This window comes from Homo sapiens, chromosome 6 (assembly GCF_000001405.40).
Source record: "Homo sapiens chromosome 6, GRCh38.p14 Primary Assembly".
NCBI classification, from domain to species: Eukaryota; Metazoa; Chordata; class Mammalia; order Primates; family Hominidae; genus Homo; species Homo sapiens.
In genome coordinates, this window is record NC_000006.12 from 79,435,556 (window position 1) to 79,461,459 (window position 25,904).

A 25,904-nucleotide genomic window follows, 5' to 3' on the forward strand; every position below is an offset into this window, starting at 1 on the left:
TCATCCGCTTGGTAGTAAATGAGTTCTCCCTTAGTTCTTGTGAGATCTGGTTGTTTAAAAGAATCTGGGACCTCCCCCTTCTCTCTCTCTTGCTCTCATTCTCACACGTGATAACACTGGCTCCCTCTTTGCCTTCTGCCATGATTGTAAGCTTCCTGAGTTCCTTACCAGAAGCAGATGCCAGCACCATGCATCCTGTACAGCCTGCAGAACTGTGAGCCAATTAAACTTCTTTTCTTTTTAAATCACCTGGCCTCAGATATTTCTTTGTAGAAATGCAAAAATAGACTAACACAGGGTACCAGCAAGGTTGGGTTCTGGTCAGGGGCCTCTTCTAGGTTGCAGACAGCTGACTTCTCATTGTATCCTCACATGGCAGAAAGCCAGAGAGGTAATTGGGGTTACTTTAGGGCACTAGTCCCATTCATGAGGGTTCCATCCTCATGATCTAATCACTTTGCAAAGGTCTCACCTCCTAATACCATCACATTTGGAGTTAGGATTTGAACATATGAGTCTGGGGAGAAATATAATCATTCAGTTCATTGTAGTGCCTAAAAACATTACAGCCCCATCCACTTGATGCCCACTCCCCACGTGCCATGGGAAGTTCAAAGAATCCTGAGACATCTAAACAAAGCCCTTAAAAAAAAATTAAAAACCATTAAATCATTAAAACTATTGCTCTAGCCAAAGCTGTCTCTTCCTGAATATGGTTTGCAAATCCCAATTCCATGTTTGTGCATTCCCTAAGTTGTTGTTTTCTACTCTTTGCCCTCCCAATACCCACAATGAAAGTGGGAGGAAATTCAGACATTATCTGAAAGAATGTTAGTAATGATGGGGAGTGTCAGGTTTACACTGGGGTGATCATGAAAATGCCGTTCTTTTAACGTCATAGTCTAGATTCCTAGAAAGCAAAGGTTATGACTACTTAGTGAATTTCTTAAGATCTTGCAATGTGCATGCAAATACATAATAAATACAAGAAATAATCTTGTGTTCAGGCTTCTGTTAACTAGAATGCCCTGTTAATTGTTACTCCATACTTCTATAATAATGGATCTCAGAAACTTGTTGAGGTTGCTTCTTAATTATCCAAAACCTGCGTTCATTATAGTTTTCTCTTTTTAACACAAATACACTTTTAATTGATATCAGATAAAAACTACTCAGAGAAGGTCAGTAATTGTTTTAGCCCCTAATCTGTTAGAGCCCTATGGTGAGCAGCCTTGAGGAGCTGGGTTAACTGGTTATTTTCCCTAGTTTCCATCATCTGCAGTATTAGGAAAAACAAGGCACTGTCTCAGTTTAGGATAAACACATGGCTGGCAACCAAATCCAGTCTCTTACATTCCATGTTTTTTCCTTAGCTCTTCTACATTGTTGACGTAAGCTTTCATGGCATCTTCCTTGGTAGTCCCTTTCAGCTCATTCCAGGCATCCCACTTGGTCTTGCCTTTGAAATCCAACATCCCAGGCCATTCTGTATTTATGTCGCCCACAGTTGCTTGTTTGTAGTGGCCATAGAGGAACACATCTCATCATCCCCTGGCTTGGTCTTAAGGTGTTTAACGTCTTCCACAGCTCTCTCAAACTCAGCCTGAGACATCCTGGCCAGCTTGCAAGGACTCCAGGGAGCCCGTGGAGGAGGAGAGGAGCAGGAAGCAATCATCATAGTTTTAAAATTAAATATGTATACTCTGCCTAATTCTTTTAAAGATGCACTATATATATGTATATATAGTACTATTTTCTTTTAAACTGGTAACAGGTTCCTTAAAAATTGTTGATAGTTTTCTGTCTCTGATAACGGAGATGTCAGTTTACCTTTGGAGCTGGATTCTTTTTCGGGGTGGGTGGGGGAATCCCCAAATTGTTCCTTGTGTGATATACATGTAAAGGAAATAACCACCCATGAGCTGATAAGGGGAGATAATTGGATCTTTGTGAGATCTCGACCAGGGCTCTGGCCCTTTGAGTAGATGGTGTCTCATAGCCCTCCTCAAGTGAGTGTCCAGCTCAGATTTCCACTCTCAAGTTCAGAGTTGTCAAAATGGCCTGATGGGCCTCCAAAGCCCTGGTGAAGATGACCAGCAAAGGTAATTAAGTCCAAAGATAGAATTTGTGATAAGGGAGAAGAGTCTGCATTGGTGACCCTGATTCAGTGTCAGGGCCTTAATCAGATGGAGGAAGCACTCATTCTGGACTTAGTGCACAGCTGATACCAAAACTTCCTTGGACCAGTACCTCCAGCGCTGTGGGTGTATCCTGACGAAAGGACTGAGGTTGTGATTGTATTATATATGGCTGATTCCTAGACAACTTGAAATCAAGGCTATGTGTCTTGTGGGACAACCATGGCTGAGTCTGTGGAGAAAGGGGTAGTTCCCCAAGGAACATATTGGTTATTTTACCAGCAAAAACGCAAATGAATAGCAGGCAAACAAAAACAACTGATTACACCATAAATACTAAAAATGATTTACCCCTTTTATAAAAGGTAAGCAAATGCCTATGCCTTTCTCAAGTTCAAGAATTATTATAACCATGCTTCCATTTCCAAAAGAAGGAAACTGTACCCATAGTGACTGTATAGAAAAAGAAACACAACAGAGGTTCAGAGTCATAGCTGGGCTGACTGCCTGCACACACCCAGCTGTTCTCTTAAAATCACAAAGCCCGTGGAAGTTCCAGACTCTGTTGTTTTGGCCCAAATTACATATTTCAACACTTTATTGTTTGCTTTTGATGTCTGGGTTAGTAATTTTCATGCAAAAAGGACCATCTGGGAAAAACATTTTTTTGTGTCTCGTGGGTTCTTTATGGATAAGCAAAAATGCTCATTATTTAAGCAAAAATGTTTTTAATATGGAGCTGCAATGATGTTGTGAATAAGGAGTTATATCATTGTGCTATCCACTTCTATGCCCAGAAAAACAGAAACACATTGCTTTGTATTCATGAGGAAAGTGTAGAGATCACTGCAAGAAATGTGTTTTAGAAATAGCCCCAAATATTACTCTAGAATACATTCTTTGTTATTAAGCTTTGTTAATAGCATAAGGAAAACAAATGCTTCAGTAAACTTTTTCACATGATCTTTCATAAAATTACAACATTTCTTAATATATTTTTAAATCAAGAAAGCCACATATACAATATTAACTGGGAAAGAATATTTTAAAAAAAACAATTCTTAAAAATAACAGATTGGCATAATCAAATCAGGTGAGTTCTGGTGATTACTGAGAAATAAAACACCTGGATTTAATAAATCTTAAAGCACTTAACCATGTAATAAAGCACAGAGCAATGGAAGAAAATGTGTAAATTTGAAGTCTCATCTGATTTAAAGTCACAAAAATGAGGATCACACAAAATACTCTCGCCTTCCTGGGCAGAAGTGAATACATCAACACTGCAGGCTATGACAGTGTAGTAGCTATTAACCCATTGTGGATAAACAATTAAAAAGCTTGATTACCCAATGTAAGATAATGTAAAGTAGCACTCTTCAAACGAGTCTGGGTATATCAGAGTACATGCCGACTTGCCCTAAGAGACCATGTTGGGTGGGGTCATGGGGGGTGGCTTTAAAGAATCCAGGTTCTTAAGTGAATTAAGTCAAGAACAGGAAACCAAATACAGCATGTTCTTACTTATAAGTGAGAACTAAGCATTGTGGGAGCTAAGCATTGGATACTCATGGACATAAACATGGGAACAATAGACACTAGAGACCACTAGTAATCTACCTATTGGGTACTATGCTCACTGCTTGAGTGATGGGATCATTCATACCCTAAACCTCAGCATCATACAATATACCTATGTAAAAAACCTGCACATGTACCCCCGAACCTAAAATAAAAGTTGAAATTAATAAATAATTTCTTTAAAGAATCCAAGTCCTTACCCTCCATATGTTCTCTTTCCTAAAACACACCTGCCTACAGTATATCCCTCTGGTAGTTCTCCTCTTATCTCTCACCACTATCACCTTTCTCCCAATGTACTCAAGAACAAACCTTTTACTCTTCTTGAATCCAACTACACACATTTTTCCAGGGTGGAAAAAACCCTCATCAAACCAAAGGGTTTAAAATGTCAAAATTGAAATATGATATATTGGCAGAGGAAAAGAAAAGAGATTATCAGTAAGAAATATTGAAGGCATAGGTGTGTTATTTTGTACAAGTGACAAACTTATGAAATAATTTTTTATCAAAGGTTTTTATCTATTTAACTAGAATATTTAACCGGAAACCATGCTAGGAAGTTCCAGTCGGTTAAGATGTGTGTTCTCTCTGCATCTTTATGATTCTCAGTAGTGAGAATGAGCTTGATAATTTGCATTATTAACCTGCATCATGGCCTGTGTCTCAGTTGCATATGTGCATGGTTTCAAGGAAGAAGCGACAAAAATGTCCATGTTTACTTGCATCAAGTTTTTCCAAAAAGGCCATTTATAAGAAAAATCATCTTTATTTTATTTAACAGAGACACGAATCTCCTGCTCACTGTCACTCCTCAGTTATTGTGTTTATTCAACTATTTGATGTTGTTTTGTGATACATAATTTATTTAATAGCAATCATCAATTTACTTTTTGTAAACTCTACAATTACTAGGGACTCAATACCTTCTCTTTTCTTTGCTGGTAATTCCCAGCAGAGTAAACTGGACTCTTTAAAATAAAACATTTACTTAGGTATGGGTGTATGATATCCCTCTGCCCCCTGTAGAGAGGGGACTGGCTCATAGTGAATCCTAGGCTTCTATTGTCCCTTGCTCCCTATCTGTAAGTAATAAGCCTGCTTCATGGAACTTGTATGTGACAGTTCTATCTCACTGGATTCAGACAAGTTGGTAACCAGTGCACAGTGAACCTGTGTCACACTGTTGGCTTAAAACCATCATTTAACTCTCACAGTTCTGCTGTTCAGGAATTTAAGCAGTGCTCAAAAGGGAAAGCTCATTTCTGCAACATGTGCATTGACTGGAGAATCCATGATAGCTTTGCTCACATGTCACATTTCTCTAATGTTTGACTGAAGTGGCTGGGACCTGGCTGATCCTCTCTATCTCTCCCTTCACAGGCTCTTATACTCTGGGGCCTCTTTTTCTGCACATGCTCTCTCTTTACATGGATTCTTTATATAGCTGCTTGTTTCCTCTCTGAGTGAAAACAGAAGCTATATGACATTTGAATGTCTGGGCTCAAAAATCCAAGCATATGACTTCTGCTGCATTAAACTTGTCAAAAAAATCACAAGTTCAGTGCAGATTCAAGGTATGAGTAAACAGATGTGCTCTCTCGGTCAGAGAACTGGCAAGTGCATAAATAATTCTTACTGGCTGTAGTTACATACAATCTCCCACAGTCTGCCCTCTGGCCACAAAAACTCACATTACTTCCATATGCAAACTATAGTCAACTGTTCCAAAGACTCCCAAAGTCTCAACAAATTATAATATCAAATCCTATGCCCAGTATCTCTTGATCTACATTGGGATCATACAGATGTGCATGAAATTTCATAAGTGCAGCTCCTTTTGATATGAACTGTGAAGCAAAAATGCAAGTTATCTGTACCTCCATGCCCAACAATATAATGTTAAGACAGACTAGAATAACCATATTAGACATTCATTTATAAAAGGGAGAAATGAAGGCACAAAGCAGTCACTAGTCAACAGAAATTCTGAATTACAGCCAGGCTCATCTTATCAGTGTCCCCTAATCTGAAGGCAAGGAATGTTTCTTGATTCAGGTTCAGTTTTGCTATATGGAAGTGATTACCTAATCCATTGCTTCTAATAGCTTATACTTCTGTTTGCAGGGCTCTGGGCTCCACCCTCTGAATCATATTTCCTTTGTTCATAGGAAATTTTCCATGCTTGCCATCATGTAGCTGTCCCAGTCTACCTTTTGCAAAGCAAGTTGAGGGCCCAGAGAAAAATGAAATTAAAAAAAAGACCTTTTGTCATATTTCACCTTCCATGTCCTTTTTTAGTTCAAGCTGATATAATACCTTAAGAAATTTAATGTGCTTCCTGTGTATCAAATTCTAAATCCAAAATCCAAAATAAATCTTCTTATAAGTGAAAAAGTCACACATACAAATCTCTTCAAGACAAGACCTTCTCTAATGCAGGCTTTGAGTCAGAGTGTTGTGGAATAATATTCTTAAAATTCTTACAAGCTGTTTTGTCTAGCTGAGAAGGTTGATGAGGCACTGAGTTAAATTAGGGATCTTGTAACTACACTGTTGATTTGATCTTTACACTAAGGCCACGTTTTATTGACAATTCCTGAATTCTATCTTTTTCCTGGGGCTCTTTCTCACTTTTAGAATATTTTTCTAACTCAAGAATGTGGGAATGAGAAAATATTTTATTTTCCTACTCAGCAAGTCCTCAGTTGGAAATATTTTCTCTACATTTGACTTGAAAATGGAATCATTCCTGCTTAGTCAATATCATTTTTGCAATACCTTTTAATATGTAATATAAGAGGCTGTATTAGTCTGTTTTCATGCTGCTATAAAGACACACTCAAGACTGGGAAATTTGTAACCAAAAAAAGAGGTTTAATGGACTTACAGTTCCATGTGGCTGGGGAGGCCTCACAATCATGGTGGAAGGTGAAAGGCACGACTCACATGGTGGCAGACAAGAGAAGAGAGCTTGTGCAGGGAAACTCCCATTTTTAAAACCATCAGATCTCATGAGACTTATTCACTATCACAAGAACAGCACAAGAAAGGCCCGCCCTCATAACTCAATTACCTCCCACCAGGTTCCTCCCACGACACATGGGAATTATGGGAGTTACAATTCAAGATGAGATTTTGGTAGGGACACAGCCAAACCATAACATTCCGCCCCTGGCCCCTCCCAAATCTCATGTCCTCACATTTCAAAACCAATCATGCCTTCCCAACAGTCCCCCAAAGTCTTAACTCATTTTAGCATTAACTCAAAAGTCCATAGTCCAAAGTTTCATCTAAGATAAAAGAAGTCCCTTCCACCTATGAGCCTGTAAAATCAAAAGCAAGTTAGTTACTTCCTAGATACAATGGGGGTATAGGCATTAGGTAAATACTGCCATTCCAAATGAGAGAAATTGGTCAAAACAAAGGGGCTATAGGCCCCATGCATGTCCAAAATCCAGTGGGTCAGTCAAATCTTAAAGCTCCAAAATGATCTTCTTTGACTCCAAATCTCACATCCAGGTCACACTGATGAAAGAAGTAGTTTCCCATGCTCTTGGGCAGCTCAGCCTCTGTGGCTTTGCAGGGTATAACCCCTCTCCTGGCTGCTGTCATGGCAGGCATGAGTGTCTGTGGCTTTTCCAGGTGCACGGTACAAGTGATCGATGGATCTATCATTCTGGGGTCTGGAGGATGGTGGCTTTCTTCTCACAGCCCAACTAGGTGTTGCCCCAGTAGGAACTCTGTGTGGGGGCTCCAACCACACATTTCCCTCCTGCACTGCCCTAGAAGAAGTTCCCCATGAGATCCCTGCCCCTGCAGCAAACTTCTGCCTGGACATCCAGGTGTTTCCATACATCCTCTGGAATCCAGGCGGAGGCTCCCAAACCCCAATTCTTGACTTCTTTGCACTGGCAGGCTCAACACCCCATGGAAGCTGCCAGGGCTTGAGGCTTGCACCCTCTGAAACCACAGCCTGAGCCACAGCCTAGGCTGGACACAGCACAGGTACCTTGGGACCTGCCCACGAAACCACTTATTCCTCCTAGGCCTCCAGGTCTGTGATGGGAGGGGCTGCCATGAAGACCTTTGACACATTGGAGACATTTTCCCCATTGTCTTGGGGATTAACATTTGGCTCCTAGTTAGTTATGCAAATTTCTGCAAGCCAGCTTGAATTTCTCCTCAGAAAATGGGGTTTTCTTGTCTATTGAATTGTCAGGCTACAAATTTTCTGAACTTTTATGTGCTGCTTCCCTTATAAAACTGAATACCTTCAACAGCACACAAGTCACCTTTTAAATGCTTTGCTGCTTAGAAATTTCTTCTGCCAGATACCCTAAATCATCTCTCTCAAGTTCAAAGTATCACAACTCTCTAGGACAGGGGCAAAATGCCACCAGTCTCTTTGCTAAAACATAACAAGAGTCACCTTTGCTCTCGTTCCTAACAAGTTCCTCATTTCCATCTGAGACCAATTCAGCCTGTCCATATTGCTATCAGCATTTTTGGCAAAGCCATTCAACAAGTCTCTAGGAACTTCCAAACTTTCTCACATTTTCCTGTCTTCTTCTGAGCCCTCCAAACTGTTCCAACCTCTGCCTGTTACCCAGTTCCAAAGTCACTTCCACATTTTTGGGTATCTTTTCAACAGCACCCCACTCTACTGGTACCAATTAGTCCATTTTCATGCTGCTGATAAAGACATACCCAAGACTGGGCAATTTGCAACAAAAGAAAGAAGTTCAATGGACTTACAGTTCCACGTGGCTGGGGTGGCCTCACAATCCTGGTAGAAGGTGAAAGGCACATCTCACATGGCAGCAGATAAGAGAGGAGAGCTTGTGCAAGAAAACTCCTGTTTTTAAAACCATCAGATCTCATGAGGCTTATTCACTATCACGAGAACAGCACAGGAAATATCTGTCCCATAATTCAATTACCTCCCACCAGGTTCCTCCCACAACACGTGGGAATTGTGGGAGTTACAATTCAAGATGAGGGGACATCTTGGGTGGGGACACAGACAAACCATATCAGAAGCCAGTTGCACATGCAAAATTTTGCCCGGAGACCAGGCGCAGTGGCTCACACCTGTAATCCCAGCACTTTGGGAGGCCGAGGCGGGCAGATCACGAGGTCAGGAGGTCAGGAGATCAAGACCATCCTGGCTAACACGGTGAAACCCTGTGTCTACTAAAAAGACAAAAAAATTAGCCAGGCGTGGTGGCAGGCACCTGTAGTCCCAGCTACTAGAGGGGCTGAGGCGGGAGAATGATGTGAACCCGGGAGGTGGAGGTTGCAGTGAGCCGAGATCGCGCCACTGCACTCCAGCCTGGGTGACAGAACGAGACTCTGTCTCAAAAAAAAAAAAAAAAAAATTGCCTGGAAACCTGCTTAGCCAGATCCACAAAATCCTTAGGTATATTTTCTATCTTTATATTTCTGCATTTAATAGTTTTTTCAAATGTTTCCTCACTGCTTAATATTGGGCATTCTTCTCCAGCCTCCAATAATAATTTGCTTACTGATCTTCTAACTTCCATAAATAGTCCCATTGTTCTTCCAGTTTTTACCTGTAGTTCAGGGGCTGGCTGGGCTTCTTTCTACATCCCTCCATAGTGTCTCATGCATCAGAGGTTTTTTCTCTCCATGTGGCCACTCTCTCAAGGACAATAAGTGAACTTCCTCACATAGCAGCTGTTTTTCCCTCTGATCAAAAGCAGAGGCTGTGTGAACATTGCAGGCCTGGACCCAAAAGTCCTAGAATGTCATGTCTGCTGTATTCTATTGGTCAAAACAAGTCCCAAGATCAGACCAGATATGGTTTACCCTCATCTCTTGATTAGAGAAGCCACAAGCAAATATGATATGCAAAAAACTCTTGGTCCTTACAGTGGGTTGAATAGTGGCCCCCAAATAAATGCTTATGTCCTAATTCCCAGAACCTGTGAATGTTACCTTACTTGGAAAAGGGGCCTTTGCAGATGTAACTAAGTTAAAGATCTTGAGATGAGGATATCAACCTGTCTTACCTAGGGGGACCCTCATCCAATGACAAGTGTTCCTATAAGGGACACACAAAGGAGAGCCACACAGGCAGAAGAAAAACCATGTGAAGATTGAGGCATATGCAGCCACAAGCCAAGGAATGCTGGCATCTGTCAGATGCTGAAAGAGACAAGGAACAGAATCTCTTAGAGCCTCTGAAGGAAGCACTGATATCTTGATTTTGGACTTCTGGCCTTGAACTGTGAGAGAATCAATTTGTGTTGTTTTAAGTCACCATGTTTGTGGTATTTGGTTATGGCGGTCACAGGAAACTAATATAGCAGGTATGTTTGAAATCACTCTAATACATTATGCTTATATTATTTTTAATGTTCAGATACTCAACATAAATAAGCTTTACAAAAATTTTGCTTCAGTCTACATAAATCGGATATATAGTATTTATTAATAATTTTTAAGAAAAATTTTATTTTTGAAAATAATTTTTGAATGGAATGATTTTATAGGATAATGAATATAAGAAAAATAATTTTCATTTTATAAATAGTTTTCAAAACTATAAATGTTGTCCCAGTGTAGATTTTAAATTGCATACTTACTATACAAATAACTGTCTAAAGCATTGCTTTCTGCAATGATGGAAATGTCCGATGTCTTCCCTGTCCCATGTTGTAGCCACTAGACACACGTGAATATTGAGAACTTGAAATGTGGTTTATGTGACTGAGAATTAAATTTCAAACTTGATTTCATTCAGTTAATTTAAATTTAGACAAATGTGACTAGTGGCTACCATATTGGACAAGTGTTGGTCCAACAAATCCTTTTACAAGTTATGTGGTATATACTTTTTTTCTTGTAACAGAATTTAAGAGAAACATAATTGTATTGCCCACTGGCGGACTGAATTAGTCACGGCAACCACCCGTGGCCACATGGCAAGAAACACATGGCATGCATTAGGTAAAAGGTCAAGATATGTGTAATAAATAAACTATTTACAAATGTGAGCAGGATGTAAAGAAACCAAAGATAGTGTAATATCCTGAGAATAGTAACAAGAAGGTTGTCAATATCTTTGGGCCTAAAGGGATACAAGGAAGCGTTTACTAGGACCCAGAAGGAGATAGCATAGATAGGGTTACCTTGAAAGGGGATGTAATTTTTCAGGGAAGGAGCTGGGAGAATAAATAGCCATCTCTTCTCTTCCTCTAATCTCCTGCCAAGAGGTACTCATTGGTAAAATCCAGCTGGACGCAAGAAGGCAAGCATGCTGATATAGTCCATACAGGTCAGCCTCCAGGCAAGAAGTAAGGTAGAAGAGGATGGTATAGATCTAGAATGGTAAATAGAAGATATCCAACACATAGAAAATTAAAATAAAATTATTATTTATTATAATGTGTTTTTGGCTGATCCAATACAGCTGATGTTTACAGAAATGAGTGACATCGTTATAATTAGACTTTTTCTATTTTGTTAACTTATTTATGTAAATGAGATTTCCACACTCTGAGCCCTGCCTCATTTTAGCAATAAGTGATTCATCCAAAGGTACATAAACTGAAAGGAAGGGAGTGCTCCATTCATTTCAGATGTTTCCAAAAAATATGATAAGAATGATCATATGTTTAATATATTTAAATTAATGATGAGTTATAATAATATAATTCCAATTTAATCCAGGGGAAATTTTTCAATAGCAAGGGCATATAGTCAAAGAATTTTAAAATTTAATTTATATATATCCAGAGAGAGATTATACAGTAATTAATAAAAAACTTTTAAGCATAAAGATATATTTTATTAGGATAAAATTCTACAGAGAATAAAGAATGAATATGTAAGCTGAAGACAAAAAAAGAAACAATGTAAAATTTCTGACTTTTCTGAGTTTTTTTCCACAAATGTATTTTTGTAAATGGATGAAGACAGGCATCAGGTTACTCTGGTAGGTGAGGTATCAGCAAAAATGGCAGAGTATGAATTCCAAAAGTCTGTCCCTCCACAAAAGCCATGCATAAAGTGGCACAACTGTCAGAACCAACTTTTTCAGAACCTAGAATGTAATCAAAAGCTTACAACAACCAGGGGAACACTTAATCAAGAAAAGCAGCCAAATCTCAGCATATGTCCTAGCAATTCCACTCCTGGGTATACACCCAAGAGAACTGAAAACATATGTTCACATAAAAATTTGTACATGAACATTCATAGCAGCATTATTAATAATAAATAAAAGCAGAAACAACCCATCAACTGATGAATGGATAAACAAAATTTGCTATAACTATACCATGAATGTTATTCAGCCATTAAAGGAAATGAAGTATCGATAGGTACTATAGCATGAATGAACCTCAAAAACATTATGCTAAGTGAAAGAAACCAGTCACAAAAACCCACATGTTATATGATTCCATTTATATGAAATGTCTAGAATAGGCAAATCCACAGAGACAGAAAGCAGATTAGTAGTTGCCAAGGGATGGGAGATGAAGGGAATGGAGAATGACTGTTTAATATATATGGGGTTTCTTTTGGGATGATGATGAAACTGTTTTGGAGCTAGATAGAGGTGATGGTTCCACAATGTTGTAAATGTACTAAAAGCCACTGAACCATACACTTTAAAATGGTGAATTTTATGTTATGTGAATTGTACCTCAATTTAAAAAACTGTGGTATTAGGTTCCATTGGATACATTAACAGTATGATGGATTTTTATTTGAAAATTCAGAATTTTCAATATTCTTGAAGTTACCATCTTTATAACAATTTAATCTAGAAAGAAAAAATTTAGATATTACTTAAAAAATGTGTGGCAGGGTAGATTGAATCAAATGAGGCTGGTGATATTTGACTGTTTTAACCTATAAAATGACATTTCATATGATTCCACTGTTCTTCAAATTTTCTAGAAGGTATATGAACAAATAAGTAGATCACTATGTAAAGGATTAGAGAAAGAAGGTAAACTTAGCACTTGTTAACTTGGGGGAAGTCAACTCCGGGTGAGTAAGAATTTTGAGAGGGAATGGAAGCATGAGCAGTGTGTGATGGGGGCCAGCACACAAGCACCCCGGCCCTGGGCCTGCAGCTTGCCTTCCAATGCTCCACCACTTACTGTTATGGAGCGTCAGACAAGTTCATTACCTTCTGTGTCTCAGCTTTCTGCATTGTAGAGATGATACTAGTACTTACCACATAGGGTTGTTCTGAGGATTAAATGACCTAATGTGTAAAAAGAGTTTAAAACAATACTGGTAAATACATGCTGCATTAGCGGGCCTCTGCCACAATAACACTGCATAGCAAACAAGCACAAAATCTCAATGTTATTCAACAATAAGCATTTATTTCCCACTCTGCACCTGTGGATTGGTTAGACTTGCCTCACACTGCAGGTTGGGACCAGGTCTGCTACACGAGTCACTCATCTTCCTTGGACCAGCAGTTAATTAAGGAACATTCTTCTCATGGCAAAAGGAAGGAATACAAGGAAATGTTAATGTCCCTTTTGAAGTAAGGCTTTTTCTTCTTAAGTTTTTTATTTCCTTTTGTTTTGTATGTTCTTCTAAATTCTTGTATTTTTATTGGAATTTCAATAGAGAAAACATTACTATCCATTAAACATTCCTTGGTTGTGAAGCAAATTCATGCTTCAGTCAAAAACACTGGTGTGTCCCATTCTTTGAAACAGTCATCTTCCCTTCTGCACCGAATGAGCTACATGAATCCCATACAACATTGATAAAGAGAGATGGAGAAATATAATTTCCTTGGATTCTGAATTCATTTTGATTATAATTTTCTCTCCTCTTCTTTTGACAAGCCAGTCTTCCGTGCTGTCAGAGCAATTTTGTAGCATCTACTAAAGAGAAATAATTTGGAAAACACATCACATGTGCTAGCTGAGAGATTTATCTTGTCAGGCAGGTGAAGCAGAATTCAAGGGGAATTTGCATCTCTTCCCATAGTTTGGCCTGTATGTTTTATTATCAGAAACCAACAAAGTTTTAATTCCACCTTCTTCTGTTTTCTGGTGAGTAAACAAAGGAAGACGTTTTGATAAAGAGACTTAATGGGAGAAGCTGATGTATTATACCTTTGCAGATAACGCAAATTTATAAGCCTAAGGAAATACATTTATCACTTCCTCCCACCTGAATAGACCGTTTAGCTTGTGAAATTCTGATAATAAAGTAAAGAAAATCAACACTTTTTTCCCCACATAGTACTGCTGTAAATTACATGAAAAGTGATCACATGTGCCTGGCCAGGATGAAAATACCTTGAGATCAAGTCTTTATTATAATACTCATGTGTAGATGGTAGAGTCCTTTTGGCCAAAAAGCAAGAAAGCACCTTTGTTACAAGTACATAACGTAGCTTCCAAACACTAATACTTTTTTCTGGGTTGCAATTCTAATCGGCAAAGATTGAGTGTGAATAATACACTTGATTTTGTTGACAGCTGTTATTTTATTTTATTTTTGGTTACAGGCAGGGTCTTGTTCTGTCACCCAGGTTGGAGTGCAGTGGTGAGATCACAGCTCACTGTAGCCTCAACCTCCTGGGCTCAAGTGAGCATCTCTCCTCCTCAGCCTCCCAAATAGCTGGGACTACAGGTGTGCACTACCACGCCTGGCTAATTTTTTAAAAAATTTTTGAAGTGACGGGACCTCATTATGTTGCCTAGGCTCGTGTTGAACTCCTGGCCTCAAGCAATCCTCTGGCCTCAGCCTCAGCCTCCCAAAGGGCTGGGATTACAGGCATGAGCCATTGCATCTGGCCTCCCAGCCATTCTTTTTAATTGCAGTTTAAATGTTTTACATTGTGATTATATTTCCTTAGAGCGAGGGAGATTTAGCCTAGCCCCAAAATGGAAGGTGTAATATCACAGGAAGTCCTAGCTACTACTCTGCCCTCTGAAGTTCAACTAAAAATGATTATGTACCTTTGATCACATGTTTGATTCTCAGTCTTAAGAAATGTGTGTGTGGGCACTATGCAACCATTCATCATGATACCGATAGGGACAGGGGTGAGAGAAATTCTAGGAAGAAAAGGGCAGGTCCCTGGTGAAGCCCCACTCTCAAGACAAAAAGCCTGAGACTGCAGCCCAAAGTGAGAATTTATATCCCTGTTTTCCTGCTTGAATATTGCCTTTTCCTAAGCCACCCCTGGCCCTGCCCTGCCCCATCATGTGCCTATGAGGACCCTAGACTCAGCCGGCAGAGAGGAGAAGCAGCTGGATGTCAGGGACTATGGCTGGACATCAGAGAGAAGTGGCTCGACTTCAGAGGGACAGCTTGACAGTGTAATTTCAGGCAAGAGTCCAGACAGAGATGGCTGGACTTCTGGACCTGAGGGGAAGATTGCCTACCCATCCCATCCCCTTTTCAGCTCCCTTTCACACTGAGGGTTACTTCCATCAGCAATAAAATTCCCCGTATTTACCATCCTTCAGTTTGCTCATGCAACCTCATTTTTCCTGGACACTGGACAAGAGCTTGGGAGCCATGAGTGTGGATACAAAAGGCTATCACACTGGCCCTTTGCCCTCACTGGAGGAAGGCAGCTGCCTCAGATGAAAAGGCAGAGGGCCCACTGAGCTGTTAACACTTAAGCCATCCACAGATGACAGAGCTAAAAGAGCACAGTAACACACCCTCTGGGGCTTCAGGGGTCTCATGCACTCCCAACTAGATGCTGCAGGTCCTGCATGGAGTTCGCTTGCGCCAGTGCCCAAAAGGGCTAGCTGTGGCTCCTGCACCCACTCACCTGTGTGCTCCCTTCCGCAAGGGGTGCAATGAGGCAGGTCAGAGTGAGTGAAGTTTGATCCTGCTGGCACTGAATTGGTCAGCTGGTTCCAGCACTCGTGCACTCCACTTCCCACCTCTTTTGCTTGCATGCTTCCTCCTGCGAGGAGTTGAGAGCAGCGGGCTGAGTAAACAAGGCATCCCTGTCCCGAGTCCCACAATGGGGTCAGGGAAATATCCTGCTTCCTCACTCCTTTAAAATCTTTAATGACAGGAGAAAATTCTCATGGGAGAATCATACTATTTCTAAGTGAAAAAAAAATAGAATACAAGCTATTTAAATAGTATAATTCCTATTGAGCAAGAAAAAAGTACAGTTATTTGGAAGGAAATACATCTAAATGTTCATAGTGGGGCTTGGAATCATTATTATTCCTCCTCTTGCATTATCCTATATTTATGAACTGTTTACAGTAAATGAGAGTTACTTTTATAACTTGAAAAGTTCCTAAAAATTAGCTCCCCATTCTTGTTCTGTCACCCACGTTGGAGTGCAGCGGCAATATCACAGCTTACTCTAGTCCTAACTTCCTGGGCTCAAGCAATCATCTCTCCTCAGTCTCCCAGATAGCTGGGACTATAGGTGTGCACTACAAAACCTGGCTAATTTTTTAAAACATTTTTGTAGAGATGGGATCTCACTGTGTTGTCCAGGCTGGTCTTGAACTCCTGGCCTCAAGCAATCCTCTGGCCTCAGCCTCCCAAATGGCAGGGATTATAGGCATGAGCCATTGTTCCCAGCCACCCAGGCGTTGTTGAAATAAGCTGGAAAAATAACACTGTATACATTAAAAACAAGATATAAAGGAGACTTTTCTAAACTTCCCAAAATTTCTATCTTCTGCCATAACTTTTTTTTCTTTATTCTCTTCTTGATGGTCTTAGTTAAGGTCATAATTTCAACCACTGATGTTACTACATAAACACCTTGGTCCTAGGTATCCAGCCTTTGCCTTGTCCTTCAGTTCTAGTCCTGCAATACTGACCACTTGCCAAGTAGCTCTACATGGATATCTTGTAAGTATACTCAATATTAACCCCCAAACAAACTCATGAATTGTCCTCCGAGGCCTGCCTGTGCTCCTGCTGACTCTGTTCTTGTTAACGACACCACTCTTTCGGTCATTACGAAGATAATCACACTGTTATTTTAACCCTCCTTTATCTTTCACACATGAACAATGGTCATCATATTTTATCTCAACAATGTTGCTTGAATTTAATTGCTCCTTTCCATTCCCACCGGCAATATCCTAATTATACCTCTGACTTGGACAATGGCATTGTACTTACCAAACACCTCACGTTTATTAACCTTAACCTTCACAGTAGTCCTAAGATGTAGGTACTCTTCTTATCATCTCTATTTTATGTAACTTGCCCAAAGTCATAGAGTTTACAAGCAGAGCTAGGATTTGAACCCAGGCAGTCTAATGTCAGAGATTGTATGCATAATTTCCTGCCACACAGTCTCTAGATCAGTAATGGCAACAACAGCTACTCTTTAATTTTCACTACAATCCCATGAAAGTAGCATTATCCGTATTTTAGAGATTTGGAAACCAAGGCTCAAGCAGGTGAAGAACAGAAACACCTCATGAGTTTAGTCGGCCTACTTACCCACCTGCCTCCATCAGATTAATCCTCTAAGTGCACCCATCTGATTATTCCTTAAATAAGAAAAAAGAAAAAGAGAAAAAATGATGTCCTTCATTGCCTAAGGAATAAAGTCCCAATTGTTCGTTTGGGCATTCAGGGGCTTCCCATGTCTGCTCACTTTCCAGCTTTATCTGCCACTTGTCACTCCAGCTGGGTAGGTCACCTGGCCTGCACTCAGCCATGCCCTCAGGTCCTGCCTCTACTCATGCATGCTTAATCTTCTATTTTCATTTCTCACCACGCATCCCAGTTGTTGTGTATGTATTCTGTGTATATATTGAAAAGGTACATTTGGAATTTTCACTAAACAGCAACCATAGTTTAGGTATATTCTGAAGACTTCTCTGCCATTACAGAGACCCTGGAAAGAGAAAAATCATTTAGTTTTTCCAAAATGGGAAAATAGGCTTGACAGAGCTATCTTCTTGCTCTCTCTCATGCAGTGGTGCCCTATGGTAATGCTGTCAGTTCAACAATGTATATATAAATAATAAAATGTAAAAAAAATGAGGATTGTGATGAGTAGAGTGGAAGCAAGAAGCAGGTTGAGTCCTTTAGCTGTTAACCCTAAAAATGATGGCTTGGATAGTCCCAGCCTAGAGACCTCTTATGCCCAGATGGCTCTTTTGTATTGGTCTTCTGCTGTAGGCTAGAGCTCTGGTTTTAATCTTTTCCTGCTTCTCCTCTAGCTCCTCCACTTCTTCCTCCTCCCTCTTACCCTTCCTCTCCTTCTTCTCAGACCTTTTCGTCCAAGAAAGTCTTACCAGGAGGCTCAATGTGAACAAGAGATTAAAAACAGAGCTGCTCTGCTGGAGGTGGGGTGGGGAGCCTGAAGACTTCTTCATCTGCCTCTCACCACATCCCCCCTCCTGGCACCTGAAGAATTCTGCAGAGACCAGTTTCCAAGGGCTGTGTGGGCAGAGTGTGCATGTTCAGGCATGCATGCCTGTTTGCAGATGGTATGGAGAAAAAGGTGATTGTATTGTTCATAAAAATGTAACTTGCTCAAGTATACGCCCCCTTTCTTTCTAAATTACTTGCTTTGATATTCTGGGTTCCCTAGAACTTAGATTGAAATGTCATCCAACAACTATTTGTTTAGGGCTTGCTGAGCTGCTTTCATACTGTGAGGATTGAGAAATATATGAAGTAGTCCCTGCCCAAGAAATTGCATAATTTAATCGCGAGGCCAAGACTGTCATCTTCCTGAGAGTGACTCCAACATTCTAGATTTTCAGTTTTGATCTTTTGCTTGAACTTTAACTGCCTGTTGGCCTCCTGGACAATCTCTGCTTGATTATCCTACTCTTCGCCTCAATTCGACATCTCTAAACCTGAAACTATGTCCTTTGTCAGGAAACCAAGACGTTTGTAATATCCACATCAGAGTTGTCTGGTAAAGGAGTAAAAACATGGAGGAGCAGTAATAAACAGTGGAGATCATCAAATTGACAAAAGTAACAAAAATAATTGGGGATTGCTAAGAGCTACTGTTAATTATTTGAAGCCTGTAATGTATGAGAGGGAGTAGATGTCTCCTGGAGTGAACATATACCTGCTATTACCTCAACGACCTTAGTTCCCTGCCTTTCATCTTGTCAGCATGTCTATGTTAATATGATTATAGTATTTAAAAACAATTTTTTATATATAAATAGCCTTTAAATTACAAGTCAATAACTATATCTATAATGCAGCCAAATAAATAGAAATCTGTTCTAAAAATGGAGAAAAAACTAACCATGATGGACACTCTAAAAGAAGGCACTATATATAAAAAACAGCGTTTATTACAATTTCTGGGTAGTGACTGGTATTTTGTGGATCCCATAGATCAGGCATGTTCAGCATGGTATGGCCATAGACATGACTGGTATTTTCTTTTTTTATTTTTATTTATTTATTTTTTTGAGATGGAGTCTCACTCTGTCACCCAGACTGGAGTGCAGTGGCGAGATCTCAGCTCACTGCAACCTCCACCTCTCGGGTTCAAGTGATTCTCCTGCCTCAGCCTCCCTGTAACTGGGATTACAGGTGCCCGCCACTACGCCCTGCTAATTTTTTGGATTTTTAGTAGAGACAGCGTTTCACCATGTTAGCCAGGATGGTCTTGATCTCCTGACCTCGTGTTCTGCCAGCCTTGGCCTCCCAAAGTGCTGGGATTACAGGTGTGAGCCACCACGCCCGGCCCATGACTGGTATTTTCAATAGTAATTTTGAATCTGTCTTATCTGTTTACTTTAAAAACAAACCCTTGCCAAAAAAATGTGACTTTATTGTATTTGATTTTGCTGTAGAGAAAAAAAACCAAGGGTTGCAGAGTAGCAGACTGTTGCTCAATGTAAAGGAGAACTCCTAATAAGAGAGCTGCCCAAAGTCAGACTGGTAGTCTAGGAGGGCAATGTGTTTCCTTTTCCAATTCAACGTGACCTGGGATGAAGCACTGCATTCAGAGGGATGTTGAATTGAAAGTCCTTCAAAGTCCTTCCAACTAAACACTTTATGAGCATATGAATGTAAGTTCACCAGGAGGTCAGGGAGGCAAGAAACTAAAATTAGAAGGAGTTTTAGCAGAGGGGTCTTCCTAATGGAGGAGGTCATTAGGGCTTGCTTTGAAGGGCTGCTAGGTTTTTTAGAAGGGTTGAGTAAAAGGCATCATTTTGGGTGGGAAAAACATGATGTCAAAGGTGTGGAAGAGGCTGGTCAGGTGCAGGAGAAGGAAGAGGGCAGTTGATGCTGGTGGGGGAAAGCTATATGATAGAAAGAGCCCCTGGAGAAAGAGTAGGATTGAACTGTGTTTGAGGCTATGGTGAGCTAAGCAAAAACCTGACAGCTGTTCATGTATTATCTGATAAACCTGACAGTTGCCTAAGGACATATGAACTCAGGAGCAGCTCTGAAGTGCAAGGAGGTGAAAGAGCTGTGTGCTGTGTTACAGCTTCTTCTCCAGGCTGAGGAACTGGGTCTTGCCTAACTACAAGGGGATAGCTGCCAATCAGAACTTCCAGTATATCCAAGGCCGAGTAACCTTCTTTTAGGTGTCTCTCTGCCTTGTCTATACTGAGATGCAAGGGCAGCAAGAAAATCTGTAAACATCCTATTAAAGCCAGAACATGACATTTTAAGAACTTTCATTTCACCACAGAGGTGAAAAAAGACTTTCAAAAATATCATAAAGATCCTTTGCTAGTGAACAAATAAGTACAGATCATTTATTAAGGAACTGAAACACTGAAAGCGAGCCAGACATGGAATTGTTTACAGAAAAATACCCTTGAAGTTATTATCCATTTTGTAACTACCATTATAACTATAATTTTAATATACATTATATATCCAAATTATAATACAAAACCATTACAGGATGGTTTACAGCAGTGTGCAGCTGGGAGTGACAGTATATCCTCTGGACTGAAAATGACCCATCTCTGATGTTACTGGACCCACTTGAGCCCTAGGGACAGAGCTGTGCATATTATGGCAAGTGGCCAAGGAAGTATCATGATGGTCCCATCAGCAACCCCAAAACTGTGATGGTTCTACGTAGTTTGCATATTTCTATGTTTCGGCATTATTGAGTTTCAACTGTATAAATCTGTATTTTCATTGTATTACTTAATGAGTACTTAATGAAAAGGGGAAAAAAGCAAAGAATACATTCAGAAAACAGTAGAACAAATTATGTTTCAATCAATTTGTACTTTTGTAATAAAGAGACCTCAAATCCTGAAATATTAACATACAACAGGCGAAGTTCCAAACATTCATCTACTGTCATCCACTTGTCTACGTGTGAGGATAACACTGGTTGTGAGCACAGAGGACTAATCATAAAACTCATCATTTGGGTAATGAGACCTTTAGTAGAATAAGATAACACTTCAGATTTATTCTGAAAAAGACAGAAGACTTTTTGGCTGGTGATACCCAGTGTTGTTTCTATGATATTACCTCCCACTGTAGACTATCACGCCTCTCCTTGGATCCAACCATATTTTTGGATTGACCTATAATTGACTTCGGATTTATTTCAAATAAAATTTCCAAGATATTGCCGTTTTCCCCTTTCTTTTTATTATTATTATTATTGTTATATTTTAAGTTTTAGGGTACATGTGCACAATGTGCAGGTTTGTTACATATGTATACATGTGCCATGCTGGTGTGCTGCACCCATTAACTCGTCATTTAGCATTAGGTATATCTCCTAAAGCTATCCCTCCCCCCTACCCCCACCCCACAACAGTCCCCAGAGTGTGATGTTCCCCTTCCTGCGTCCATGTGTTCTCATCGTTCAATTCCCACCTATGAGCGAGAATATGCGGTGTTTGGTTTTTTGTTCTTGTGATAGTTTACTGAGAATGATGATTTCCAATTTCATCCATGTCCCTACAAAGGACATGAACTCATCATTTTTTATGGCTGCATAGTATTCCACAGTGTATATGTGCCACATTTTCTTAAGCCAGTCTATCATTGTTGGACATTTGGGTTGGTTCCAAGTCTTTGCTACTGTTAATAGTGCCGCAATAAACATACGTGTGCATGTGTCTTTATAGCAGCATGATTTATAGTCCTTTGGGTATATACCCAGTAATGGGATGGCTGGGTCAAATGGTATTTCTAGTTCTAGATCCCTGAGGAATCGCCACACTGACTTCCACAATGGTTGAACTAGTTTACAGTCCCACCAACAGTGTAAAAGTGTTCCTATTTCTCCACATCCTCTCCAGCACCTGTTGTTTCCTGACTTTTTAATGATTGCCATTCTAACTGGTGTGAGATGGTATCTCATTGTGGTTTTGATTTGCATTTCTCTGATGGCCAGTGATGGTGAGCATTTTTTCATGTGTTTTTTGACTGCATAAATGTCTTCTTTTGAGAAGTGTCTGTTCATGTCCTTCACCCACTTTTTGATGGGGTTGTTTGTTTTTTTCTTGCAAATTTGTTTGAGTTCATTGTAGATTCTGGATATTAGCCCTTTGTCAGATGAGTAGGTTGTGAAAATTTTCTCCCATTTTGTAGGTTGCCTGTTCACTCTGATGGTAGTTTCTTTTGCTGTGCAGAAGTTCTTTAGTTTAATTAGATCCCATTTGTCAATTTTGGCTTTTGTTGCCATTGCTTTTGGTGTTTTAGACCTGAAGCCCTTGCCCATGCCTATGTCCTGAATGGTAATGCCTAGGTTTTTTTCTAGGGTTTTTATGGTTTTAGGTCTAACGTTTAAATCTTTAATCCATCTTGAATTAATTTTTGTATAATTCCTTGTGTAAGGAAGGGATCCAGTTTCAGCTTTCTACATATGGCTAGCCAGTTTTCCCAGCACCATTTATTAAATAGGGAATCCTTTCCCCATTGCTTGTTTTTCTCAGGTTTGTCAAAGATCAGATAGTTGTAGATATGTGGTGTTATTTCTGATGGCTCTGTTCTGTTCCATTGATCTGTATCTCTGTTTTGGTACCAGTACCATGCTGTTTTGGTTACTGTAGCCTTGTAGTATAGTTTGAAGTCAGGTAGCGTGATGCCTCCAGCTTTGTTCTTTTGGCTTACGATTGACTTGGCAATGTGGGATCTTTTTGGGTTCCATATGAACTTTAAAGCATTCTGTGAACAAAGTCATTGGTAGCTTGATGAGGATGGCATTGAATCTATAAATTACCTTGGGCAGTATGGCCATTTTCACGATATTGATTCTTCCTACTCATGAGCATGGAATGTTCTTCCATTTGTTTGTATCCTCTTTTATTTCATTGAGCAGTGGTTTGTAGTTATTGAAGAGGTCCTTCACGTCCCTTGTAAGTTGGATTCCTAGGTATTTTATTCTCTTTGAAGCAATTGTGAATGGGAGTTCACTCATGATTTGGCTCTCTGTTTGTCTGTTATTGGTGTATAAGAATGCTTGTGATTTTTGTACATTGATTTTGTATCCTGAGACTTTGCTGAAGTTGCTTATCAGCTTAAGGAGATTTTGGGCTGAGACAATGGGGTTTTCTAGATATATAATCATGTCATCTGCAAACAGGGACAATTTGACTTCCTCTTTTCCTAAATGAATACCCTTTCTTTCCTTCTCCTGCCTAATTGCCCTGGCCAGAACTTCCAACTCTATGTTGAATGGGAGTGGTGAGAGAGGTCATCCCTGTCTTGTGCCAGTTTTCAAAGGGAATGCTTCCAGTTTTTGTCCATTCAGTATGATATTGGCTGTGGGTTTGTCATAGATAGCTCTCATTATTTTGAGATATGTCCCATCAATACCTAATTTATTGAGAGTTTTTAGCATGAAGGTTGTTGAATTTTGTCAAAGGCCTTTTCTGCATCTATTGAGATAATCATGTGGTTTTTGTCTTTGGTTCTGTTTATATGCTGGATTACATTTATTGATTTGCGTATATTGAACCAGCCTTGCATCCCAGGGATGAAGCCCACTTGATCATGGTGGATAAGCTTTTTGATGTGCTGCTGGATTCGGTTTGCCAGTATTTTATTGAGGATTTTTGCATCAATGTTCATCAAGGATATTGGTCTAAGATTCTCTTTTTTGGTTGTGTCTCTGCCAGGCTTTGGTATCAGGATGTTGCTGGCCTCATAAAATGAGTTAGGGAGGATTCCCTCTTTTTCTATTGGTTGGAATAGTTTCAGAAGGAATGGTACCAGTTCCTCCTTGTACCTCTGTTAGAATTCAGCTGTGAATCCATCTGGTCCTGGACTCTTTTTGGTTGGTAAGCTATTGATTATTGCCACAGTTTCAGAGCCTGTTATTGGTCTATTCAGAGATTCAACTTCTTCCTGGTTTAGTCTTGGGAGTGTGTATGTGTTGAGGAATTTATTCATTTCTTCTAGATTTTCTAGTTTATTTGCATAGAGGTGTTTGTAGTATTCTCTGATGGTAGTTTGTATTTCTGTGGAATCGGTGGTGATATCCCCGTTATCATTTTTTATTGCGTCTATTTGATTCTTCTCTTTTTTCTTCTTTATTAGTCTTGCTAGCGGTCTATCAATTTTGTTGATCCTTTCAAAAAACCAGCTCCTGGATTCATTAATTTTTTGAAGGGTTTTTTGTGTCTCTATTTCCTTCAGTTCTGCTCTGATTTTAGTTATTTCTTGCCTTCCGCTAGCTTTTGAATGTGTTTGCTCTTGCTTTTCTAGTTCTTTTAATTGTGATGTTAGAGTGTCAATTTTGGATCTTTCCTGCTTACTCTTGTGGGCATTTAGTGCTATAAATTTCCCTCTACACACTGCTTTGAAAGTGTCCCAGAGATTCTGGTATGTTGTGTCTTTGCTCTCGTTGATTTCAAAGAACATCTTTATTTCTGCCTTCATTTCGTTATGCACCCAGTAGTCATTCAGGAACAGGTTGCTCAGTTCCATCTGAGCTTTGAAGAGAGCAGTGGTTCTCCCAGCACGCAGCTGGAGATCTGAGAACAGGCAGACTGCCTCCTCAAGTGGGTCCCTGACCCCTGACCCCCGAGCAGCCTAACTGGGAGGCACCCCCCAGTAGGGGCAGACTGACACCTCACACGGCCGGGTACTCCTCTCAGACAAAACTTCCAGAGGAACGATCAGACAGCAGCATTCGCGGTTCAAGAAAATCCGCTGTTCTGCAGCCACCACTGCTGGTACTCAGGCAAACAGGGTCTGGAGTGGACCTCTAGCAAACTCCAACAGACCTGCAGCTGAGGGTCCTGTCTGTTAGAAGGAAAACTAACACACAGAAAGGACATCCACACCAAAAACCCATCTGTACCTCACCATCATCAAAAACCAAAAGTAGATAAAACCACAAAGATGGGGAAAAAACAGAGCAGAAAAACTGGAAATTCTAAAAAGCAGAGTGCCTCTCCTCCTCCAAAGGAATGCAGCTCCTCACCAGCAATGGAACAAAGCTGGATGGAGAATGACTTTGACGAGTTGAGAGAGGAAGGCTTCAGACGATCAAACTACTCCGAGCTACGGGAGGAAATTCAAACCAAAGGCAAAGAAGTTGAAAACATCCCCTTTCTTAAGTGTATACACAGGTGGGATTTAGATGGGATGAGGGAGGAGGGGACACTTAAATCAAGGGAACAGCCTGAGTAATGGCAATATATTCATGTATGAGAGAAGTAATAAGGAGAGTAGCCAGACTACAGCAGACAATTTCTCCTAGAGGGGGATTGTGGGAGGTTAAGGAGGAATCTTCTGGTGGCACAATCTTATAGAATAGTGGGTGTGCTCGGTTGTAGAGTGATGGGTGGGTGCCAAAGAGATGTGGAGGAGAAGAAGGTGGCAAAGCTCACAGGTGGGTCTCTCCACTGTGGAGAGAACTGGGTTGCTATCCTGAGTGCAAAGTCAGGAAGCAGTACACAAAACCACCCTTACTTCTGACACCAAATGCAATTCCAGGGTTTCTGGAGACCACTCTCAGTTTCCATAGTTCACTAGAAGGACTCACAGAACTCACTGAAAGCTGTTATATTCATGGTTTTGATTTATCACAGTGAAAGGTTACAGAATCAAATCAGTCAAGGGAAGTGATACATAGGGCAGTGTCCAGAAAAGTCCCCAACAAAGAACTGATTGTTCTCTTCCAGCATATTGTGGACAGCATTAGCTTTCCCAGTAACATTGTGAGGCAATATGCACAAAGTACTGCCAACCAGGGAAGCTCACCCACGGCTTGGTGCCCAGAGTTTTTATTGGGACTCAGTCACA

At 40.2% G+C, this 25,904-nt stretch overlaps 2 long non-coding RNA genes and 1 pseudogene across 6 annotated transcripts in view, besides 1 other annotated feature; 1 reads left to right on the forward strand and 2 right to left on the reverse strand.

Annotated features, from left to right (window-relative positions):
• The window catches only part of LOC100506851 (uncharacterized), an 84,650-nt gene that overhangs the window by 30,509 nt on the left and 28,237 nt on the right, over window positions 1-25,904 (forward strand). The window lies entirely within an intron of this gene.
• DBIP1 (DBI pseudogene 1) lies at window positions 1,112-1,673 on the reverse strand (annotated as a pseudogene).
• LOC105377867 (uncharacterized) lies at window positions 8,485-11,367 on the reverse strand. The gene is made up of 3 exons (XR_942714.3): window positions 10,877-11,367; window positions 9,296-9,431; window positions 8,485-8,577 (listed from the first exon to the last, which is right to left on the reverse strand). It is a non-coding gene; the product is annotated as an uncharacterized LOC105377867 (long non-coding RNA).
• Window positions 17,711-18,910: an enhancer, noted in NCBI's record as "MED14-independent group 3 enhancer chr6:80162983-80164182 (GRCh37/hg19 assembly coordinates)". NCBI's record gives its function as "activates an origin of replication core promoter dependent on BRD2, BRD4, P300/CBP and CDK7 cofactors, and independent of MED14, by STARR-seq in HCT116 cells {active_cell/tissue: HCT116}" and the evidence as "EXISTENCE:reporter gene assay evidence [ECO:0000049][PMID:35650434]".